The 19,451-nt window shown below is 51.2% G+C and overlaps 1 protein-coding gene and 1 long non-coding RNA gene across 12 annotated transcripts in view; one reads left to right on the forward strand and one right to left on the reverse strand.

Moving 5' to 3' along the window:
- The window catches only part of PACSIN2 (protein kinase C and casein kinase substrate in neurons 2), a 145,384-nt gene continuing 138,081 nt past the window's right edge, over positions 12,149-19,451 (reverse strand). For 4 of the 10 annotated variants that reach the window (NM_001349968.1, NM_001184971.1, NM_001349972.1 and 1 more), the window contains 2 exons: positions 18,520-18,716; positions 12,149-13,852 (listed from right to left, as the gene is read on the reverse strand). In NM_001349968.1, coding sequence (NP_001336897.1) covers positions 13,740-13,852; positions 18,520-18,716 — 310 coding nt within the window. In that variant the 3' untranslated portion in view covers positions 12,149-13,739. Of the gene's footprint in view, positions 13,853-18,519; positions 18,717-19,270; positions 19,394-19,451 lie in introns of all 10 variants that reach the window. The other 6 variants (NM_001184970.3, NM_001349969.2, NM_001349970.2 and 3 more) reach the window with 3 other exon arrangements.
- On the forward strand, positions 13,797-17,913 carry LOC101927393 (uncharacterized). 2 transcript variants are annotated; one of them, XR_001755575.2, is made up of 3 exons: positions 13,797-13,886; positions 14,368-14,468; positions 14,875-17,913. It is a non-coding gene; the product is annotated as an uncharacterized LOC101927393 (long non-coding RNA). The 2 variants fall into 2 exon arrangements; XR_244440.4 differs by lacking the exon at positions 14,875-17,913 and having other exon boundaries at positions 14,368-14,842.

Raw genomic sequence — 19,451 nt, forward strand, 5'->3', positions numbered from 1 at the left:
CTCCTTCGGCACGAGACGGACGGAGGGCCCGTGCCTTGACGCCGGACCTTAGCTGGTGGCCTTCCCTTTTTTTTTTTTTTTTTTTGAGACGGAGCCTCGCTCTGTCCCCCAGGCTGGAGTGTAATGGCGCGATTGCGGCTCCTTGCAACCTCCCTGGTTCAAGCGATTCTCCTGCCTCAGCCTCCCGAGTAGGTGGGATTACAGGCGTACATCACCACGCCCGGCTAATTTTTGTATTTTTAGTAGAGACCAGGGTTTCACCATGTTGCCCAGGCTGGTCTCGAACTCCTGACTTCAGGTGATCCACCCACTTCGGCCTTCCAAATTGCTGGGATTACAGACGTGAGCCGCCGCGCCCGACTCTTTTTAATTCTTGCCCTCAGCTCACGCCAGGCCCTGGGTGGAAAGCTTTCTTTGCCCGGAAACTGGCTTTCTGAAACCAAGGGCTTTTGTGTCACGTTCATGGAGAGATGGCAGTGCGGGTTGAGGCAGAAGTGCTCAGTCAGAACTGATGAGTCCAGATGAGAAGCTTGACTTTTAACCCCGGCCCTCGGGGCTGCACCCTACCCTCTGGGAAACAATTCCAGCCAGAAGAGTTTACACTCAGCAGAAGGTGCCTCTGTCACCACAATGGGTGTGGAGCCACTGGAAAGAGGTTGGGTGATAGTGAGGAAGGACAGCAGGTTTTGGCATCAAAGGCACTACCTTGGCCTCAATCCCAGTTCAGCCAGCTGCTTCCTAGCTCTGTGGCCTTGGTCAAGACACTTACCTTCTCTAAAGCATGGTTTATTTGCAGTCTCAGGGGCTCATGCCTGTGATCCCAGCACTTTGGGAGGCTGAGGCGGGAGGATCACTTGAGCTCAGGAGTTCAAGACCAGACTGGATAATATGGTGAAACCCCGTCTCTATAAAAAAATGCAAAAATTAGCCGGGCATGCTGGCATGGGCCTGTAGTCCTAGCTACTTGGGAGGCTGAGGTGGGAGGATCGCTTTAGTCCAGGAGGTCGAGGCTGCAGTGAGCCAAGATCGCACCACTGCACTCCAGCATGGGCGACAGACCAAGACCCTGTCTCAAAAAGTAAAATAAAATAAACCATGGTTTATTCATCTGTACAAAGAAATTAAAGAATCAGTGCTGAGTAGCACAGGTGAGCAGCTTCCTAGGGATATCCTGAAGAGCCTTTGGTGGAGGCTTTCTACTGTTAGAAGTCAGGAAATGTACACTCCACCTATCTGCTTGGAGACCCTCGGTGGCAGTTGGGAGCTTGCAGACAATGTAACTTATAAACCCAAAGCTGCAACTTTTCCAAGAAAGGGAAATTGATTATCTTCCAGAAAAGTACATTACTTTTGCAGGTAGCTCTGATGGTTTAAAAGTTCTTCCTGTATTGAGTCGAAGTATAACACCTGTGCTTTGTGTCCACCGGGTACTAGTTTGGCCTTATGCAGAATACCGGGCATGTTTATGAGCAGTTTTATCCTTCCTGATGGGAATGGGAATGATGGTCCCATTTACTACTTGGAGCTGAAATCTTACTAAGTTATATTATCAGAGTAGTGCAGTCTAGCCCATTCTCCACCATAGAGATTGAGGAGAGGGAAACAAAAGCAGTAAATTATAGACAGTATCTACACGAATAGGGGAGGAAGGGGTAGGAGGTACCATTTATACACTATGGTTGCTTAAGTGTTCTTCATAGAACTTAGCATCTAATACTATAACATATAATATTCTATCTATATGTTATCTGGCTCTAATTGAATACAAAAATATATATTTCTGGCCGGGGGCGGTGCCTCACACCTGTAATCCCAGCACTTTGGGAAGCTGAGGTGGGTGGATCATGAGGTCAGGAGTTCGAGACCAGCCTGACCAACATGGTGAAACCCCATCTCTACTAAAAATACAAAAATTAGCCAGGCATGGTGGTGGGCACCTGTAATCCCAACTACTCAGAGGCTGAGGCAGGAGAATCGCTTGAATCTGGGAAGCAGAGGTTGCAGTGAGCCGAGATCACACCACTGCACTCCAGCCTAGGCGACAGAGCGGGACTCTGTCTCAAAAAAAAAAAAAAAAAATATATATATATATATATATATATATATATATATATATTTCTTGAAATCAAATGTTTTTTCTCCTTTTTCTTTTGAGGAGTCTCGCCGGAGTGCAGTGGTGTGATCCTGACGCACTGCAACCTCTGCCTCCCAGGTTCAGCCGAGTCTCCTGCCTCAGCCTCCTGAGTAGCTGGGATTATAGGCGCCCGCAACCATGCCTGGCTAATTTTTTTTTTTTTTTTTTTTTTTGAGATGGAGTTTCACTCTTGTCATCCAGGTGGAGTGCCATGGCGTGATCTCGGCTCACTGCAACCTCTGCCTCCCAAGGTTCAAGCGACTCTCCTGCCTCATCCTCCCGAGTAGCTGGGATTACAGGCGCATGCCACCACACGTGGCTAATTTTTATATTTTTAGTAGAGACGGAGTTTCACCATGTTGTCCAGGCTGGTCTCGAACTCCTGACCTCAGGTGGTCTGCCCACCTCAGCCTCCCAAAGAGCTGGGATTACAGGCGTGAGCCACAGCACCCGGCCAATACACTATGGTTGTCTTATCTGTCAGTTGCTTAAGTGTTTTTCATAGAACTTATTGGCATCTAATATTATGATATATAATATTCTATCTATCTGTATCTGCCTCTCCTCAATTGAATATAAATCTCTTGAAATCAGATCTATTTTTCTACTTTTTTTTTTTTTTTTTTGGAGACAGAGTCTCGCTTTGTCACCCAGGCTGGAGTGCAGTGGCGCAACCTCAGCTCACTGCAACCTCTGCCTCGTGGATTCAAGCAATTATCCTGCCTCAGCCTCCCGAGTAGCTGTTTGTAGGCAGCTGCCGCCACGCCTGGCTAATTTTTGTATTTTTAGTAGAGATGGGGTTTTACCATGCTGGCCAGGCTGGTGTCAAACTCCTTCAAGTGATCCGCCCGCCTTGGCCTCCCAGTGTGCTGGGATTACAGGTGTGAGCCACTGTGCTCAGCCTGTTTTTTCTACTACTTTATCCCCAGCACCTAGAATAATGCCTGGCACATAGTATGCATTCAATAAAGATTTGTGGAATGGGCTTAGAATGTAGAAAGCTACAAAGGCTCTCCCTCCCAATATCATAATGAGAAAAGCTGGATAATCTACCAAATTGTAACTTCTGTTGAGCCCATCAGAAAGCTGAGGTTGCAAGGCAACCAAGTAACCTCAGCGCCAAAGAGAGACAACAGAAGCCTCTCCAAAGACAGAACACAAGAACCCCTTCACCTTTGGCAGAGCGCAGGAGAAAGAGGTTACTGCCAAACTAGTTGGCAACAGGAAATCGGCTATAATTTTAATGAAGTCTTAAAGGCCAAGTGTAGGTTGGCATGTGAGTTTGGACTAGCTGGGGGCCTCAGATACAAAGGGAGTTCACATTCATTCATAAGCCCTTTTTAATAAACCTCCATCAGAAACCGTACTTCACAAGGAAGATGGGGACTGGCAAAGAGCCCGGAGAGAGACCTCTCTGTGGGGTGGGCATCCAGCTGCTCAGGAACAGGCACAGACCCCACCTGCTTCCTCTGGACTCTTCTCTTCTAAAAAAGCAGGCTGGGCACAGTGGCTCATGGCTGTAATCCCAGCACTTTGGGAGGCCAAGGCGGGCAGATCATCTGAGGTCAGGAATTTGAGACCAGCCTGGCCAACATGGTGAAACTCTGTCTCTACTAAAAATACAAAATTAGCTCGGCGTGGTGGCGCACACCCGTAGTCCCAGCTACTTGGGGACTGAGGCACGAGAATTGCTTGAACCTGGGAGGGGAAGGCTGCAGTGAGCCAGGATCAAGCCAGTGCACTCCAGCCTGAGCGACAGAGGGAGACTCGTCACAAAAAAAAAAAAAAAAAAAAGAAAGAAAAGAGAAAGAAAAAAAGCAAAAGCAGTAAATTCTCTCTGTCTCAGGGAATGGGCAAAGATCTGTTGCTGCCAGGGGAGGGGTAGAAATAAAACCCAGTAATCCAAATTCAAATGCAAAAAAGGAGGGGAAAGAGAAGCAGAATCCCTCTACAATCCAGGGGTTTGCCATGAGGATGGTGGGAATGTTGAGAAGGCCCCACCCTTTGAGCATCCTGGGCTACACATTTTTTTTTTTTCTCGAGGCGGAGTCTGGCTCTGTCACCCAGTGCAGTGGTATGATCTTGACTCACTGCAACCTCTGCTTCCCAGGTTCAAGCAATGCTCCTGCCTCAGCCTCCCAAGTAGCTGGGATTAACAGGCACCCGCCACCACACCCAGCTGATTTTCCTATTTTTAGTAGAGATGGGGTTTCACCATGTTGCCCAGGCTGGTCTCGAACTCCTGACCTCAAGTGATCCGCCTGCCTCGGCCTCCCACTGTGCTGGGATTACAGGGGTGAGCCACCACCCAGCCCAGTATTGTCCGTCTTGTAGAGTATTTGCATTCTAATTCTCTTTGCTGTTCGTCTTTCATGAAGAGATCCTGGCATAGCTATGGCCAAATGAAGCAGCATTGTGTTTATTTAGTTCATTTACTGTTTAATAGGAGCTTGCTGAAAGCCAAATCCCACCCTAAAGAGAAACCAGACATGGCTACATAGTCATATGATGAATCACAAGTGAGAATACGCACAGATCCTGTCCCTTGCCCCTGGAAGACAACACCTGTGGACTTTGCTTAGTGCCAAGCGAAAACAAGTGAATGCTATCTCTTTGACATATTCTTTCTGTATAGGCCAGATACATTTGAAATGAACTTACTGGGGCCAGGTGTGGTGGCTCATGCCTGTAATCTCAGCACTTTGGGAGGCTGAGGCAGAAGGATGGCTTTTGGCCAGGAGTTTGAGACCACCCTGGGCCACATAGCAAGATCCCACTTCTACAAAAAATTGAAAAATTAGCGGGGCATGATGGCACGTGCCTGTAGTCCCAGCTAATCAGGAGGCTGAAGCAGGAGGATCACTTGAGCTCAGGAGTTCAAGGCTGCAGTGAGCTATGATTGCATCACTGCACTCCAGCCTGGGTGACAGAACGAGACACTGTCAGTAAAAAAATAAAAATAAATAAAAAAAAAGAAGGCCAGGCATAGTGGCTTGCACCTGGAATCCCAGCACTTTGGGAGACCAAAGTGGGCAAATCACTTGAAGCCAGGAGTTTGAGACCAGCCTGGCCATCATGGGAGAACCCCGTCTCTACTAAAAATACAAAAATTAGCCGGGGGTGGTGGCGTGTGGCTGTAATTTCAGCTACTCACGTAGCTGAGGCATGAGAATCGCATGAACCCGGGAGGCAGAGGTTGCAGTGAGGAGAGATTGCACCACTGCACTCCACCCTGGGTGACAGAGGGAGACCCTGTCTCAAAAAAAAAAAAAAAAAAAGCCGGGCGTGGTGGCTCACGCCTGTAATCCCAGCACTTTGGGAGGCCGAGGCGGGCGGATCACGAGGTCAGGAGATCGAGACCATCCTGGCTAACACGGTGAAACCCCGTCTGTACTAAAAATTCAAAAAATTAGCTGGGTGTGGTGGCGGGCGCCTGTAGTCCCAGCTACTCGGGAGGCTGAGGCAGGAGAATGGCATGAACCCGGGAGGCGGAGCTTGCAGTGAGCCAAGATCACGCCACTGCACTCCAGCCTGGGCAACAGAGCGAGACTCCGTTTCAAAAAAAAAAAAAAAAAAAAAAGAAGAAGAAGAAAGAAGAAGGAAGAAGAAGAAACAAAATACTGACATATGAAACCACACAGATGAATGTCAGATGAGTCATGGGAAGTGAAAAAAGACAAGGCTACATATTGCACGGTTCCATTCTTATGGCATTCTGGAAAAGGTAGAAACAGAAAACATCTAAGTGGTTTCTAGGGACTGGGGGTGTAAGGAGGGGTTGACAACAAAAATCCACGTGTTGGGGAGGTGACGGAAGAGTTCTATATCTTGATTGTGGTGATGGTTATGTGATACGGTTTGGCTGTGTCCCACTCAAATCTCATCTTGAATTGTAGTTCCCATAATCCTCATGTGTCAGGAAAGGAACCTGGTGGGAGGTAACTGAATCATGGGGGCAGTTACCCCCATGCTGTTCTCATGATAGTGAGTAAATTCTCATGAGTTCTTATGGTTTTATAAGGGGTTTTCCCCCCTTTGCTCAGCATGTCTCTTTCCTGCTGCCATGTGAAGAAGGATGTGTTTGCTGCCCCTTCTGCTATGATTATAAGTTTCCTGAGGCTTCCCCAGCCATGCAGATGTGTGAGTCAATTAAACCTTTTTCCTTTATAAATTACCCAGTCTTGAGCAAGTTCTTTGTGGCAGCATGAGAATGGACTAGTACATTACATAACTGTATACATTCATCAAAACTTCAAGAACTGTACACTAAAAGGAGTGTTTTTGGCCTGGCGCAGTGGCTCACGCTTGTAATCCCAGCATTTTGGGAGGCTGAGGTGGGTGGATCATGAGGTCAGGAGTTCGAGACCAGTCTGACCAACATGGTGAAACCCCCCTCTACTAAAAATACAAAAATTAGCTGGGCATGGTGGTGGGTGCCTGTAGTCCCAGCTACTCAAGAGGCTGAGGCAGGAGAATCGCTTGAACCCAGGAGGCAGAGGTTGCAGTGAGCCAAGATGGCATCACTGTACTCCAGCCTGGGCAACAGAGGGAGACTCCATCTCAACAACAACAAAAAAAGTATATACATAAATTATACCTTAAGAACTGAGAAAAATGGGAAACAAAGCAAATGCTCAGCAACATGGGACTTACAGCATGAGTATCATTCGGCCACTAAACAGTACACTTCACGCATGAACAACTTGAGCTTGAACTACATGGGTCCACTTACATGTGGATTTTTTTCTTTTTTTTTTCTGAGATGGAGTCTTGCTCTGTCACCCAGGCTGGAGTGTGGTAGCACGATCTCAGCTCACTGCAACCTCTACCTCCCAGGTTCAAGCAATTCTCCTGCCTCAGCCTCCCAAGTAGCTGGGATTACAGGTGTGTGCCACCATGCCTGGCTAATTTTTGTATTTTTAGTAGAGACGGGGTTTCACCATGTTGGCTAGGCTGGTCTCCAACTCCTGACCTCATCCTCCCACCTCGGCCTCCCAAAGTGCTGGGATTACAGGTATGACCCACCATGCCCAGCCAGATTTTTTTCAATAAAAGTTACACTTGAGTGTGCCAGCCTTTCCTGTTGCTCCTTCCACCTCCTCTACTTCTTTCACTTCTTTTTTTGAGACAGGGTCTTGCTCTGTTTCCCAGGCGGGAGTGCAGTGGTGCAATCATGGCTCACGGCAGCCTTGACCTCTCAGGCTATAGTGATCCTCCCACCTCAGCCTCCTGAGTAGCTGGAACTACAGGTGTGTGCTACCATGCCTGGCTAATTTTTTTTTTATTTTTGGTAGAGACAGGGTGTCCCTGTGTTACCCAAGCTGGATTAGAACTCCTGGGCTCAAGTGATCCTCCCACCTCGGCCTCCCAAAGTGCTGGCATTACACGTATGAGCCACTATGTCTGGTGTTTATTTTTAATTGAAGTATATTTAGGGACATGAGAAAATGCTCATGATCAAATGGCAGGAGAACGAAACTATATTTACAGTACGATCCCAATTTTGTAAGACACATACACACATTGATGATGATGATGACGACAAGAAAACAGCACATGTGGCTGGGCGTGGTGGCTCACACCTGTAATCCCAGCTACTCGGGAGGCTGAGGCAGGAGAATTGTTGAACCTGAGAGGTGGGGGGCACAGGGAGCCGAGATTGTGCCATTGCACTCCAGCCTTGGGCAACGAGAGTGAAATTCCACCTCAAGAAAAGAAAAGAAAAAAAGAAAATGGCACATGTGCATATATGTTAGGAAAAATACCAGAAAAAAATACACCCCAATGTTAGCAATGTAACCTCTGGAAGTCAGGATCACAGATAACTAATGTTTTTCTGAATACCTTTACTAAATTTCCAAATTTTCATCTGAGCCTTTGTTCCTTTTACAATCAGGAAAAAATAATTAAGATTCCTATTGGAAAATACCATAAAGTGGCAGGGCCACCTGGCTGTCTTTGCCCAGAAGCGGCCAGTGACTGTATGTAGTTCACATGCCCTGAGGCGGCTGCCTTGGTGATCCGAATGCTGTTGAGCTCAGGGTCTTTTAGGTCCTCGTACCCTAACCCTAACCCTAACCCTAACCCTAAGGCGCTCTGGGTTTCTGCAACCTTCGGGAGGTCTAGCACCTAGTATTCCTCTGGCGTCTGAGTTTTGGTCCACTGGCCGTTGGTGCTGGTATCCTTTCCCCTAAGAGTGACATCACTTATTTAGTTCATTTCTTTCTTCCTTCCTTCCTTTCCTAGCCCTTTCCACAAAGGATTTGTAGATGCCTAGAACAATATAATCTGGGTTTCATAGGATAGTCCCAGATTTGTTGCGTTTTCTTTTTTCTTTTTGGTTTAGTGCCACATACCCAGGCTAGAGGGAGGATGAGCACTGTGGTTCCTCCGACCCTGTGCCTGGTGGTGGTCATGCCTGGCCAGAAATGAGCCTCGTACCTCAACTGCAGGCGAGGCCAGATTTAGCTCAGTTTGGGCACATCCTCCCAGGTGTGGTGGAGCCACCTCCATCCTGACCCTGGTTCTTTTCACTGGCTGGCACCTGGAGCTGACTCCGTCCTGGCCTGAGGGCCCCTCTGCTTGCTGCCACCACAGGGGCCACAGAGATGCAGCCCATTTATTCGGAAAACCGAGGCCCAGAGAGTGGCCTTTGTCTTCCACAGGTGTCTGTGGAAGGGCTGGGGAGGGGCGCAGACCTTCCCTGCCTCAGAGGAGGCTTCAGGAAGGGTGGACAAGGGAGGGGAGCAGAGCGGACAGCCACCACTCTGGGGAGACCTTGGACTGTGAAAAGGGGTGGGGGAAGGAAAGCTTACAGGGCACCCACAGGCTGGGGTGCCCACCTGGCAGGGTCTTTGGCTTCTGAGCACCCCTTAAGTTATCCTCACTTCATCACCCCTGTTTTTTTGTTGTCATTGTTTTGAGACAGAGTTTTGCTCTTATTTCCCAGACTGGAGTGCAGTGGTGCAATCTTGACTTACTGTAACCCCCGCCTCCCGGGTTCACACGATTCTCCTGCCTCAGCCTCCCAAGTAGCTGTGATTACAGGTGCCCACCACCATGCCCGGCTAATTTTTTGTATTTTTAGTAGAAACAGGGTTTTACCATGTTGGCCAGGCTGGTCTCGAACTCCTGATCTCAGGTGATCCACCCGCCTCAGCCTCCCAAACTGCTGGGATTACAGGCATGAGCCACTGTGCCCGCCAGTCATCCCTACTTTTCAGCAAATGAAGCTCAGGCATTTTCCGTTTGTCTGTGGTCCAGCCTCCTGCCCAGGTGGGGACTCAGGGACACTTCCTACAGGAAGTTGGGGAACGGCTCAAGGACTGAGCAGTGCTCTGATCTCTGAGGCCTTGGAGCCTGGGTTGGGAGGCCTGAGACTTCTGAAACCCAGCACACACATTCTCAGAAGACAACTCTGGCCCTTTGTCTCTGGCTGTCCCATCATGGTGTCAGAATAACACAGGTCCTTCTCTGAGCCTACCAGAGTTTCCCAAGGGCAAGATTGGCTTCTCTTCATGTTTGTCCTGGCACCGCTGAGTCTCACACACAGTATGTGCTCAATAGATGCATGGTGAATGAATGACTGCACAATGGATACATAAGGAGAGCCAGCTGATCCCTCACCAGGTTGGGCCACTCAGGGGTCAGGCCTTGCTCAGCTTCCCAAACCACATGGTCTGTGCCCACGGCGAAGTCACTGCTTCCTCTCACTTGTCCTGTTTCCCCATGAACTATGAGGGGGTTGGTCAGGTGGTCCACACAAGTCCTTCCCAACCTCCCCCATCCCTATCCCGATGGCTTGTGAGCGGGTTCCCTCCAGGCCTATCCAGTGCCTGAGGCCTTGACACAGCCCAGGCTGCCCAGTCGGGCCTTCACTACATGCTTCTGAGTGGACCAGGATCTGGCATCAGAGCCCAGAGCAGAGGTCAGCCCTGTTCTCCATCTGCAGGGACCTCCGAAGGCCCAGTTTTAGCTCAGGCTGCAGCAAAGCCAGATCCCTACTCCGGTCACTTGGCAGCACTTGCTCACCCTCCCGACATTTCTGGGTTGTGGGAAGGATGGAGAGAGATGATGAAATACCCCTGTCCTGAGCTCCAGGTAGCTTTGGCCCAGGAGAGGGCTCTGGGGCTAACACTCCCCCTAGTGTCAACTCAGGGGCCTTGGGGACCCGAAGAGGTGTGGACAGTTGGTGGCAGCACTGATCCAGGGTGGTGGCTGTGGGAGGAGCGAAGGGCAGCCATGGACAGCAGAGAACCCTGGGCCCCTGCCTATGGTGTCACTCATAATCGTGACAATGACCAGCTCCTGAGTGCCTGTGGCGTTTTTCTTTTTTTTTTTTTTTTTGAGATGGAGTCTTGCTCTGTCACCCAGGCTGGAGTGCAGTGGCGCGATCTCGGCTCACTGCAAGCTCCACCTCCCGGGTTCATGCCATTCTCCTGCCTCAGCCTCCTGAGTAGCTGGGACTACAGGTGCCAGGCACCACGCCCAGCTAATTTTTTGTATTTTTAGTAGAGACGGGGTTTCATCGTGTTAGCCAGGATTGTCTCGATCTCCTGACCTCGTGATCCACCCGCCTCGGCCTCCCAAAGTGCTGGGATTACAGGTGTGAGCGACCGTGCCCGGCCTTTTTCTTTTTTTGAGACTGTCTCGAGAGCTCTGTCGTCCAGGCTGGAGTGCAGTGGTGCAATCATGGCTCACTGCAGCCTCAAATTCCTGGGCTCAAGCAATCCTCCTGCCTCAGTCTCCCAAGTAGTTGGGACTAGATGCATGCACCACCACACTCGACCAATTTTTAAACTTTTTGTAGAGACAAGGTCTCACTATGTTGCCCAGGCCACCTTTTCTTCTTGCTCTAACTCTCCAACTGGAAAAGTATCACTTCTACTTGGGGAAACTGAGGCCTAGAGACAAGCTGAAGTTTCCAAGCTGGCCCCTGAGGGCAGGGCAGGAGAGGGAAGATGGGCAGTTAGAGGCCCTGCCAGATCTCTCACGGGGGGGGCCGTGTGATCCAGCCTCAGAGTGGAGGTTGCTTCATCCAGCTCAGCGGGGACCGTGGTCTTGCCATGGTGTTTGGGCAGTGACTGAGGCCACTGGCACCAGGAGCCTGCTTCTGACCCCCCACCTTCCCTCCCAACCCCGTTCTGCCTGTTTCTCTGCAGCCTGGGGCTGTGGGCCGAGCCGGGTGTCCGCCCTGCGCTGTAGGGCTCCAACTCCTCAGAAGCTGGGAGCAGGGGACCCGCCACCCCTCAGACAAGGAGGCTGCGTGACAAGGATCTGTCCCATACCCTTGCTGAGCTGGGACAAAGCCACACTGCAGGGGCAGCTGCCTGCCTTGCTCCTCCCAGGTGCTCTGTGAGGCCCCATGCCCAGCTGGCGTGCTTTTCTGGGCAGCCTTCCCAGGGCTCGGTGAGCGTGGCCACAGCCGCCCTCACGTCTTGCTTCTCTCCTGTCTTCAAGCCAGTCCAAGCCTCCTCCCTCCTCAGTTTCTCCAGCGAGGGAGGGGGTGGTTCCTCAGGGATTTCGCTCAGTGCTTTGGGCTGGCTGAGACTCCTCAAGAAACCCTGGCTGGCTCTTGGAGCCTCTGTTTCCTCCTCGGTAGAATGGAAATGGGGAGACTTGCCCATACCCTGTGGAGATGTTTGGAGACGCAGATAATGTAAGTAAAAAGTGGAGAGCACACAGTAGGTGCTCAGGAAAATGTGCTCATAGGAGAGTTATGGGTGATGTCAGTCTTGTCCTGCTGTTTGGGCTGGGGCAATAGAGAGGCGCCAGCCGATGCCCGCACCATGTGGAAGCCCAGGTCAAACAGCAGCAGGTCTCGGGGAGAAGGGAACCCCAAGGGGCTCAGGTGCCTCAAATCCCCAACCTCCAGTTTGGCAGGGGCAGTGGGCCGTGGCCTTTTGGGCAGGGGTCCTGTGCCCTGGATCTTGCCCAGCTCCAAAGCTAGTAAGCCCCAGGGAGGCCACCCCCGCCAAGTGAAGTGGGCATGAAGACAGATGATGGCGAAGGGACTTCCATATGCACGAGATCAACTGTTTATTGATTTTTTTCCTCAAATACTACACATGTAAAGGAACTGTTAAACTGAAAAAGACTTGACAATTTTTGGTAAATCCGTAGCACAGAAATGAGGATTTCTGCTGGTAAGTTCTCAGGACAGACACAGACACAGGTCCACTTTCCAAGCAAGACATCTGCTCACTGGAAACGGAGTGAATGCATAGCTGGTGACGGCGGCGGGCACTGCTGAGTCACGTGAAACACAGGTTCCCCCACGTTCCCCCCACCCCCGCCGGCCCGCGTGGCCCCCGCGTAACTCTGGCTGCAGCACCTGCTCCCGGGCGACTCCGGGCAGCCCGAGACACTCGTGCTGCGGGTAAGACCCAGCTTCTGTTTGTGCACAAGTAACACGACGACTGAAATCTGCAACTACTGCAAAGACGCGGGCACTTTTACAGTGTTCTGCTACGGAGCCAGGACAAAGGCCGGTCAGAAGCCGGACCAGCAGTCAGCTGGTGACGACGAGCCTCCCTCCAGCAGGCACCACGTCAGAGAGGCCCCAGGCCCACTGAGCCCGGGAGGAGACCCAGCCGGCCAGCCAGACGTGTGCCTGAATGCCACAGACTTCAAGCAGTTTACAAACGAAACTCACTGTTAAAAGCTGTTAAATCTCATTAAAACAGTAGACGAGTGCTTTAGATTCTCTGAATATCAAATAATATATACAGATAGACACTGAGACATGACAGTCTAATCTAAAGCATCTTTACAGATGCATTTGCTTGAAAAGTTAGTCTTCTTTTTAACTCTGAATCAGTGATAAAATTGTTAATTTGCAAAAGAGTACAGTTTTAAGCAAGAATAGAGTGAAAATAATTTTTAAATATGGCGATTTGGGGGAGTTCTACCTAAGGTTCTATGTAAAGCTTCCATTCAGATGCCCAAAAGCACAAAGAGCATTCCCAATAGAAACCCGACCATAACCCGGTCCCACCTTCCTGGCATAATTCCTTTCCTCAAACATCTGCCACCTGAGGCTAAGCCTACACACGGCGTGGCTGAGTAACAGGGTAAGGGAATAGGGAGATCGTTTCCTCAAGACTGGTGCGCATCAATCTGTGCCATAATTTAAGTAGAAATGAACAGGTGTATAAAAAAGTATAACTGTACACAGCCTTTAAATTAAAAACCTCAAAATCTTCACTCAAAATGGGATGTAAGCTTGTTCATTTAAGTTGCAGGTGATGGACTCGTCAGAGAGAGTAATCAGTGGAACAAGATCAGTGTAACCCACCATTGACTCGGAAAGGAGAGACAAAGTCAAGAACATAGAGATCTATGATAGGCCAACAGGCACAGTGGGCGGGGAGGGGCGGCTATTTCTGTTGTTCTGCGTCTTCCTGCGCTCAGATCCCTCCAGCTGCACTCGGAAAGGTGCCGAGTCCCAGGCGAAATGACCAGCTCATCTGCCTTCCAGGAACACCATGAAGCCAAGAGCAATGGAACCATCATCTCTTGCAGGAAAAGGAGTGGATGCCCACGTGGCTGGCTGAGGCTCCTGGGCCCGCCGCCTCCGTCCCCCCGCTGGCCTGTCCCCGACTCATCACTGGATCGCCTCCACATAATTTGCCGGGTATAGGCCAACTTGCCCGTTGTCCAAGCGTCCCTTGCACCAGCCCTGCTCATCCTCGTCCTCCATCTTGGTCAGCTCATCCCCTGCAAGACAAAGAGGGAGCCGTCTCCATGAGAGGTATGACACCGACGGTGGGCTACAGAGCCGCATTCACGAGCTTTGAGCCCACAGAGGGTGGAGGGCCAGGCATTCTGTGGCGGGCAGGCCGAGGGCCTGGTCATTTCTCTACTAAATGCATGCATTTTAAGTTGCCTCTTTGGTCATGGGCCTCTGACAGACCTAGAGATGACAGTCTCACACAGTAATTTGGAACAAGCTGCTCTCAGCTGCCACAGTGGCTCCCACTGAGACTGCGGCATCCAGCTCCATAGGGCTGTGCCTTCCTCACCACCCTGGCCAGGTGGCAGGAATCGTCCCTCGGTTGTGCCCCTCCCTCACGTTGGGCCTCTTCTGTCCCCTCCCCAGGGCCCCGGCCGCCTTGCTCCCAGCAGCTGTCTCTGGGGTCTCTCTGCCTTTGCTAATCCCTCTCCTCTGCAACTTCCAGGCTGCGAGGGGAAGGGACCATGTCTGACAGTCATACCTGTCATTTTATCCCCAGCACCTGGCTGATGACTTGTGCACGGTGCCATGTGTCAACCCTTCCTGAGACCCTGAGAAGGAGCCCCTGGCGCTGTTCTGGAATCTCCCTGTGGCTCTAATGTATTAACGTGGTTCCATTTATCTTTGGTTGTTCCAACCTGAAGGACCTCCTACTTCTGGCCAGGCCTTGGGTAGAAGAGGAGATACAGAGATGAGAGGAACTGATGGATCCTGGTCTCAAGGAGGCAGACTAGGGTGGTGAGGGGGAGGTGGCACTAGGGTAGGGCCCCAGGTCTGGCATTTGCCAGGTTAGGGAAGCAGAGCAGCTCAGAGCCCAGGGGTGGGCAGGGGCCTGTGTGCTTCTGGTTGGTAACTCACTGCAGGGAAGGCCAGTTGGGCCTGCTGGCTCGGACCTCGTCAGGAGCAAGCAATTGGTGGGAAAGAAATAGTCCCAGTGCTGTTTTGCCTTTATTGCTAAGTTTGAAGTTTTGTAACTCTCTTTGGCATTTTTTGGTCCATTTTTCAGAATTAGATGCAGTTTTCCCCCTGGTTTAGCATTTCCCTGATGCTTTGGATTTTGTATGGCAGCAATGCTGGTCAACATGCCTGCGGAGCTAATACCTGGGGCTTCCAGTGCTCCCCGGACTGCCTGGGCTCAAATCCCACAGCCATCACTCACTGGCTGGGAGACCTGGACCAACTGCGTCCACTCCCTGGGCCTGTGGCCCTCATCTGTGGACTGGGGGTACTGTGAAGATTAAGTGTTAAGACACTAAAGAACCCTGGGAGGGTGGGACATGCGTAAGCACTGGCTCAGCCTCCCACTGTCGTGCCGCTTCTGCCAGACCAGTGCGCCTGCAGATCTAACCCAGAGGCATCAGGAGCAGATGCAGGGGCCACAGGGCAGCAGCCACGATGAACCACCATCTCTTTCCACCGCTTCGTGCCTCGGGCCCCTGGCGTTTCTTTTGTCCTGCCTTCATTGGTTGCTGTGCTCTCACAGGCCTGGATCCAGGCTACCGAGGCTAGGATGAGGCCTGTAACCCCACACTACCATGTGGCAAACAGCCAGAACACCGCAAGAGACGTAAGTCAAGCCACACTGGCTGGGAGCTAATTTTGCATTGTTAAAAAGCAGGATAACACAGAAAATAGAACGGACAGGAAAGCTTTCACATTGTGCAAATGTGAACTGGTGATTAGAAGGTTCATTTCAATCAGTTTGCTTTTGACAATTTACTTGGATCTGGAAGAAACATTTTAAATCTACAAAATTACTGTCAAACCCAATAGGCAGGATTGAAAAGGAGTTAGAAATTATAAACAAATAAACCAACAAAGTCGGGGGTAACAACCCCAACCAAAGATATCAGAAACTGGATGAAGATGGCTTAAAGGCACATTAAAAAAAAATCCAAAAAAACAAAAAAACCCAACTTCTCAAACTGGGCAGAGGCAGCTGATAACCAGCCCAGGGGAAGAGTGTCTGGGGACAGCAGGCTGGCACTCTGGGTGCTGAGGGGAGGAGGCTGAAGACTGGTTAGAAGCTAGGCCATTGGGCACAGCCCCCAGGCCCTGGCTTCCCTGCTGAGTCAGGGGTTGGGGTGGTGGTGGTAAGGCAGCCTTTCCCACAAGTGTAGCCTAGGGGCAAGGGCACACTTCAGCCTGTGTGGGTTGAGTTCTGGCCCAGCTTCCCTCTTGGAGTGGTAGATGCTGCTTCTGGGGGAGCTTCACAAAGAGGGCAAGAGAGGGAAGAATCTGGGTTGCTGTGGGTCCACTTTGGCCCTAGGCCACTCCAGCTTCCTTAGGTGCTAAGATAGCAATTTTCTTTCCTTTTTTTTTTTTTGAGACAGAGTGTCACTCCATCACCCAGGCTGGAGTGCAGTGGTATGATCTCAGCTCACTGCAACCTCCACCTCCCAGGTTCAAGTGATTCTCTTGGCCTCCCCAGTAGCTGGGATTACAGGTGTGTGCCACCATGCCTGAATAATTTTTTTATTTTTTAATAGAGGCAGGGTTTCACCATGTTGGCCAGGCTGGTCTCAAACTCCTGACCTCAAGTGATCCTTCGGCCTTGGCCTCGCAAAGTGCTGGGATTACAGGTGTGAGCCATCGTGCCCGGACAAGATAACACTTTTCAAATTGAAGATGTGAAAAGCCATTTTGGTAAACTGCAAATGCATTAAAAAAGATTCCTATAGTGGGTGGGGTGGTAGCACACATCTGTGGTCCCAGCTACGTAGGAGGCTGAGGTGGGAGGACTGCTTGAGCCCAGGAGATCAAGGCTGCAGCTGCTGTGAGCTATGATCGCACCACTGTAACCCAGCTTGGCTAACAGAGTGAGACCGTGTCTCTATTAAAAAAAAAAAAAAAAAAGATTATCATTGAAGACCATTCAAAGAAGAAAAAGACATTGCACAGAAAGTCTTCACAGGCAGAGCACATGTAATCAGGATCCAGGCTGTTTTATAAAACTATGGTTTCTGCTCCTAGCAACACAGATATGTGTGTGGGTTGGTGTGTGCATGGTAGGTGTGGGCAGGTAGGTGTGCACACACACAAGTTGCTGCCTGAGACAAGGCCCCACCTGGCCCAGGGGCATGCCAAGTGCTACTCTGGGGTCTGGGCAAAGCTGTGGCTCTCCTGAGGGCTTCTCTGGCAGTTGGGGACCCCTAGAGAAAGGCTTCTCTCATGGCCCTGCGGGGCTAGCAGCTCCCAGACTACATATGGGGGAACCTGGTGGTCCTGGCCAACAGCTTCTCCAGATGCCCTTCTGTGTGACTAGCCAGTGCCCTGCAATTCACAGCCTTGGCCCAGCAAGGTGAGGAGTCCAGGCACTGGCTTGGCAGCACCTCACTATTTCTGAGTCTTGGCATTGGGCATCCGCTTTTTTTTTTTTTTTTGAAAAAGAGTTTTGCTCTGTCGCCCAGGCTGGAGTGCAGTGGCGCAATCTCGGCTCACTGCAAGCTCCGCCTCCCGGGTTCAAGCAATTTTCCTGCGTCAGCCTCCCGAGTAGCTGGGACTACAGGCGGCTGCCACCACGCCCGGCTAATTTTTTGTATTTTTAGTAGAGACGGGGTTTCACACTCTTAGCCAGGATGGTCTCAATCTCCTGACCTCGTGATCTGTGTGCCTCGGCCTCCCAAAGTGCTGGGATTACAGGCGTGAGCCACCATGCCCAGCCTACTTTTTTTTTTTTTTAAGAGATGGGGTCTTGCTCTCTCTTCTAGGCTAGAGTACGTGGTATGAACATGGCTCACTGTATCCTCTTGGGTTTAAGTGATCCTCTGCCTCAGCCTCCCAAGCAGCTGGGACTATAGGTATGCAACACCACGCCCAGCTAATCTGCTACTTTTGTTTGTTTATTTATTTGAGACAGGATCTCGCTCTGTTGCCCAGGTTATTTATTTGTTTGTTTGTTTGCGACAGGGTCTCGCTCTGTTGTCCAGGTTGGAGTATAGTGGTACAATCATGATTCATTGCAACCTCAATCTACTGGGCTCAGGTGATCCTCCCACCTCAGCCTCCCAGAGAGCTGGGACTACAGGCATGTGCCACTAAAATTAGCCCAGCTAATTTTTTTTTTTTGACACAAAGTCTTGCTCTGTCACCCAGCCTGGGGTACAGTGGTGTGACCTTGGCTCACTGCAACCTCCACCTCCCAGGTTCAAGTGATTCTCCTGCCGCAGCCTCCTGAGTAACTGTGATTATAGATGCCCCGCCACACGCCTGGCTCATTTTTGTATTTTTAGTAGAGACAGGGTTTCACCATGTTGGTTAGGCTGGGCTCGAACTCCTGACCTCAAGTGATCTGCCTGCCTTGGCCTCCCAAAGGTGCTGGGATTACAGGCGTGAGCCACCATGCCTGGCCTAATTTTTTGTATTTTTTGTAGAGACAGGTTTTGCCATTTTGCCCAGGTTGGTCTCATACTCCTGGGCTCAAGCGATCCTTCCACCTCGGCCTCCCAAAGCTCTGGGACTATAGGCATGAGCCACCACATCCAGCCAATTGGCTGCTTTTGACAATGAAGCCAGGGCACTGGGGAAGGGCCTGCAGTGACTCACAAGTGAAACTAGCAAGAACTTTTCCAGACTTAAAAAACAAAAAAGACCGCCCACAGCCTGCAGGTTGGAAGCCCTCCTCCCCTGGATGCTGGGGGAGCCCACCTACCAGCCTTGAAGCTCAGCTCATCATGCTCCTGCCCCTCATAGTCATACAGGGCCCGGACTCGCACTTCCGTCCCCGAGGTGGCGTCGTCGTCGAATGGATTCGAGTCCCCATTGGCATCCGTGGAGGAGAAGGGGTTGTTAGACTCATCGTCTGACCAGTCGGTGGGATAGCTCTGGGTCTTCTCGTAGCTGCTCACACTGCAAGAAAGGGGAGGCCACAGGGCCCTCAGCACAGGGCGGCAGAGGGTGTGAGGCCCCCGCCCCGCAAGGGGAGGGCACTGGAGCCTTGGGGCTCAGGGCTGAGGGCTCCTTCCGAAGGAGCACAGGTGGAGCCAGTGCTAGTGTGAGTTCATGCCATCCACACTCATCCTGAGCCATCAACAGGCTTTCCAGGGGCAGGCGGCTGGAGATGCCCACAGCAGAGGCCAACCTGGGGCCTCACTCTCTAGTCCCCAGCACAGACTGCGCGTTGTCTGTTTTCCTGTCATGGTGCTGCTAGGGCCTTGAAGGGTTAACAGAGGACAGAGAAAAAGCAACTTAAGATTGTTAGCTGTGCCCTCCCCGAGGAATGGGGGTGCCAGAGAGCCTGTGCCAGAGAGCAGGTAGTGGGCCAGGGTGCGGCACGCCAGGTGCCCACTTCCTGCAGAGCTCCGTGCATTGCCGAGTGCCGAGGGGTGAGACCCCTGGACAGAGAGAGAGGAAGAGAGACAGAGTGAGCGCGGTGGGAGCAGAGGAAGCATTTGTTCACCAACTTTTTGGCCTTAGTGTCGTCCTTCTCACTGACGGTGCTGCCCGTGTCGTCCTCATCCTCGAAGGGGTTGTAGCTGGACTGTGACTGCGCAGACTGGGCGGGGTTGCTCGGGACATTAAGGGTGCTATGGAGAGAGAGAGCTTTCAGGGGATCCCAGCTCTGCAGGGGCCCGTGAGGGTCCT

This window comes from Homo sapiens, chromosome 22, assembly GCF_000001405.40.
Source record: "Homo sapiens chromosome 22, GRCh38.p14 Primary Assembly".
Classification (NCBI taxonomy): Eukaryota; Metazoa; Chordata; class Mammalia; order Primates; family Hominidae; genus Homo; species Homo sapiens.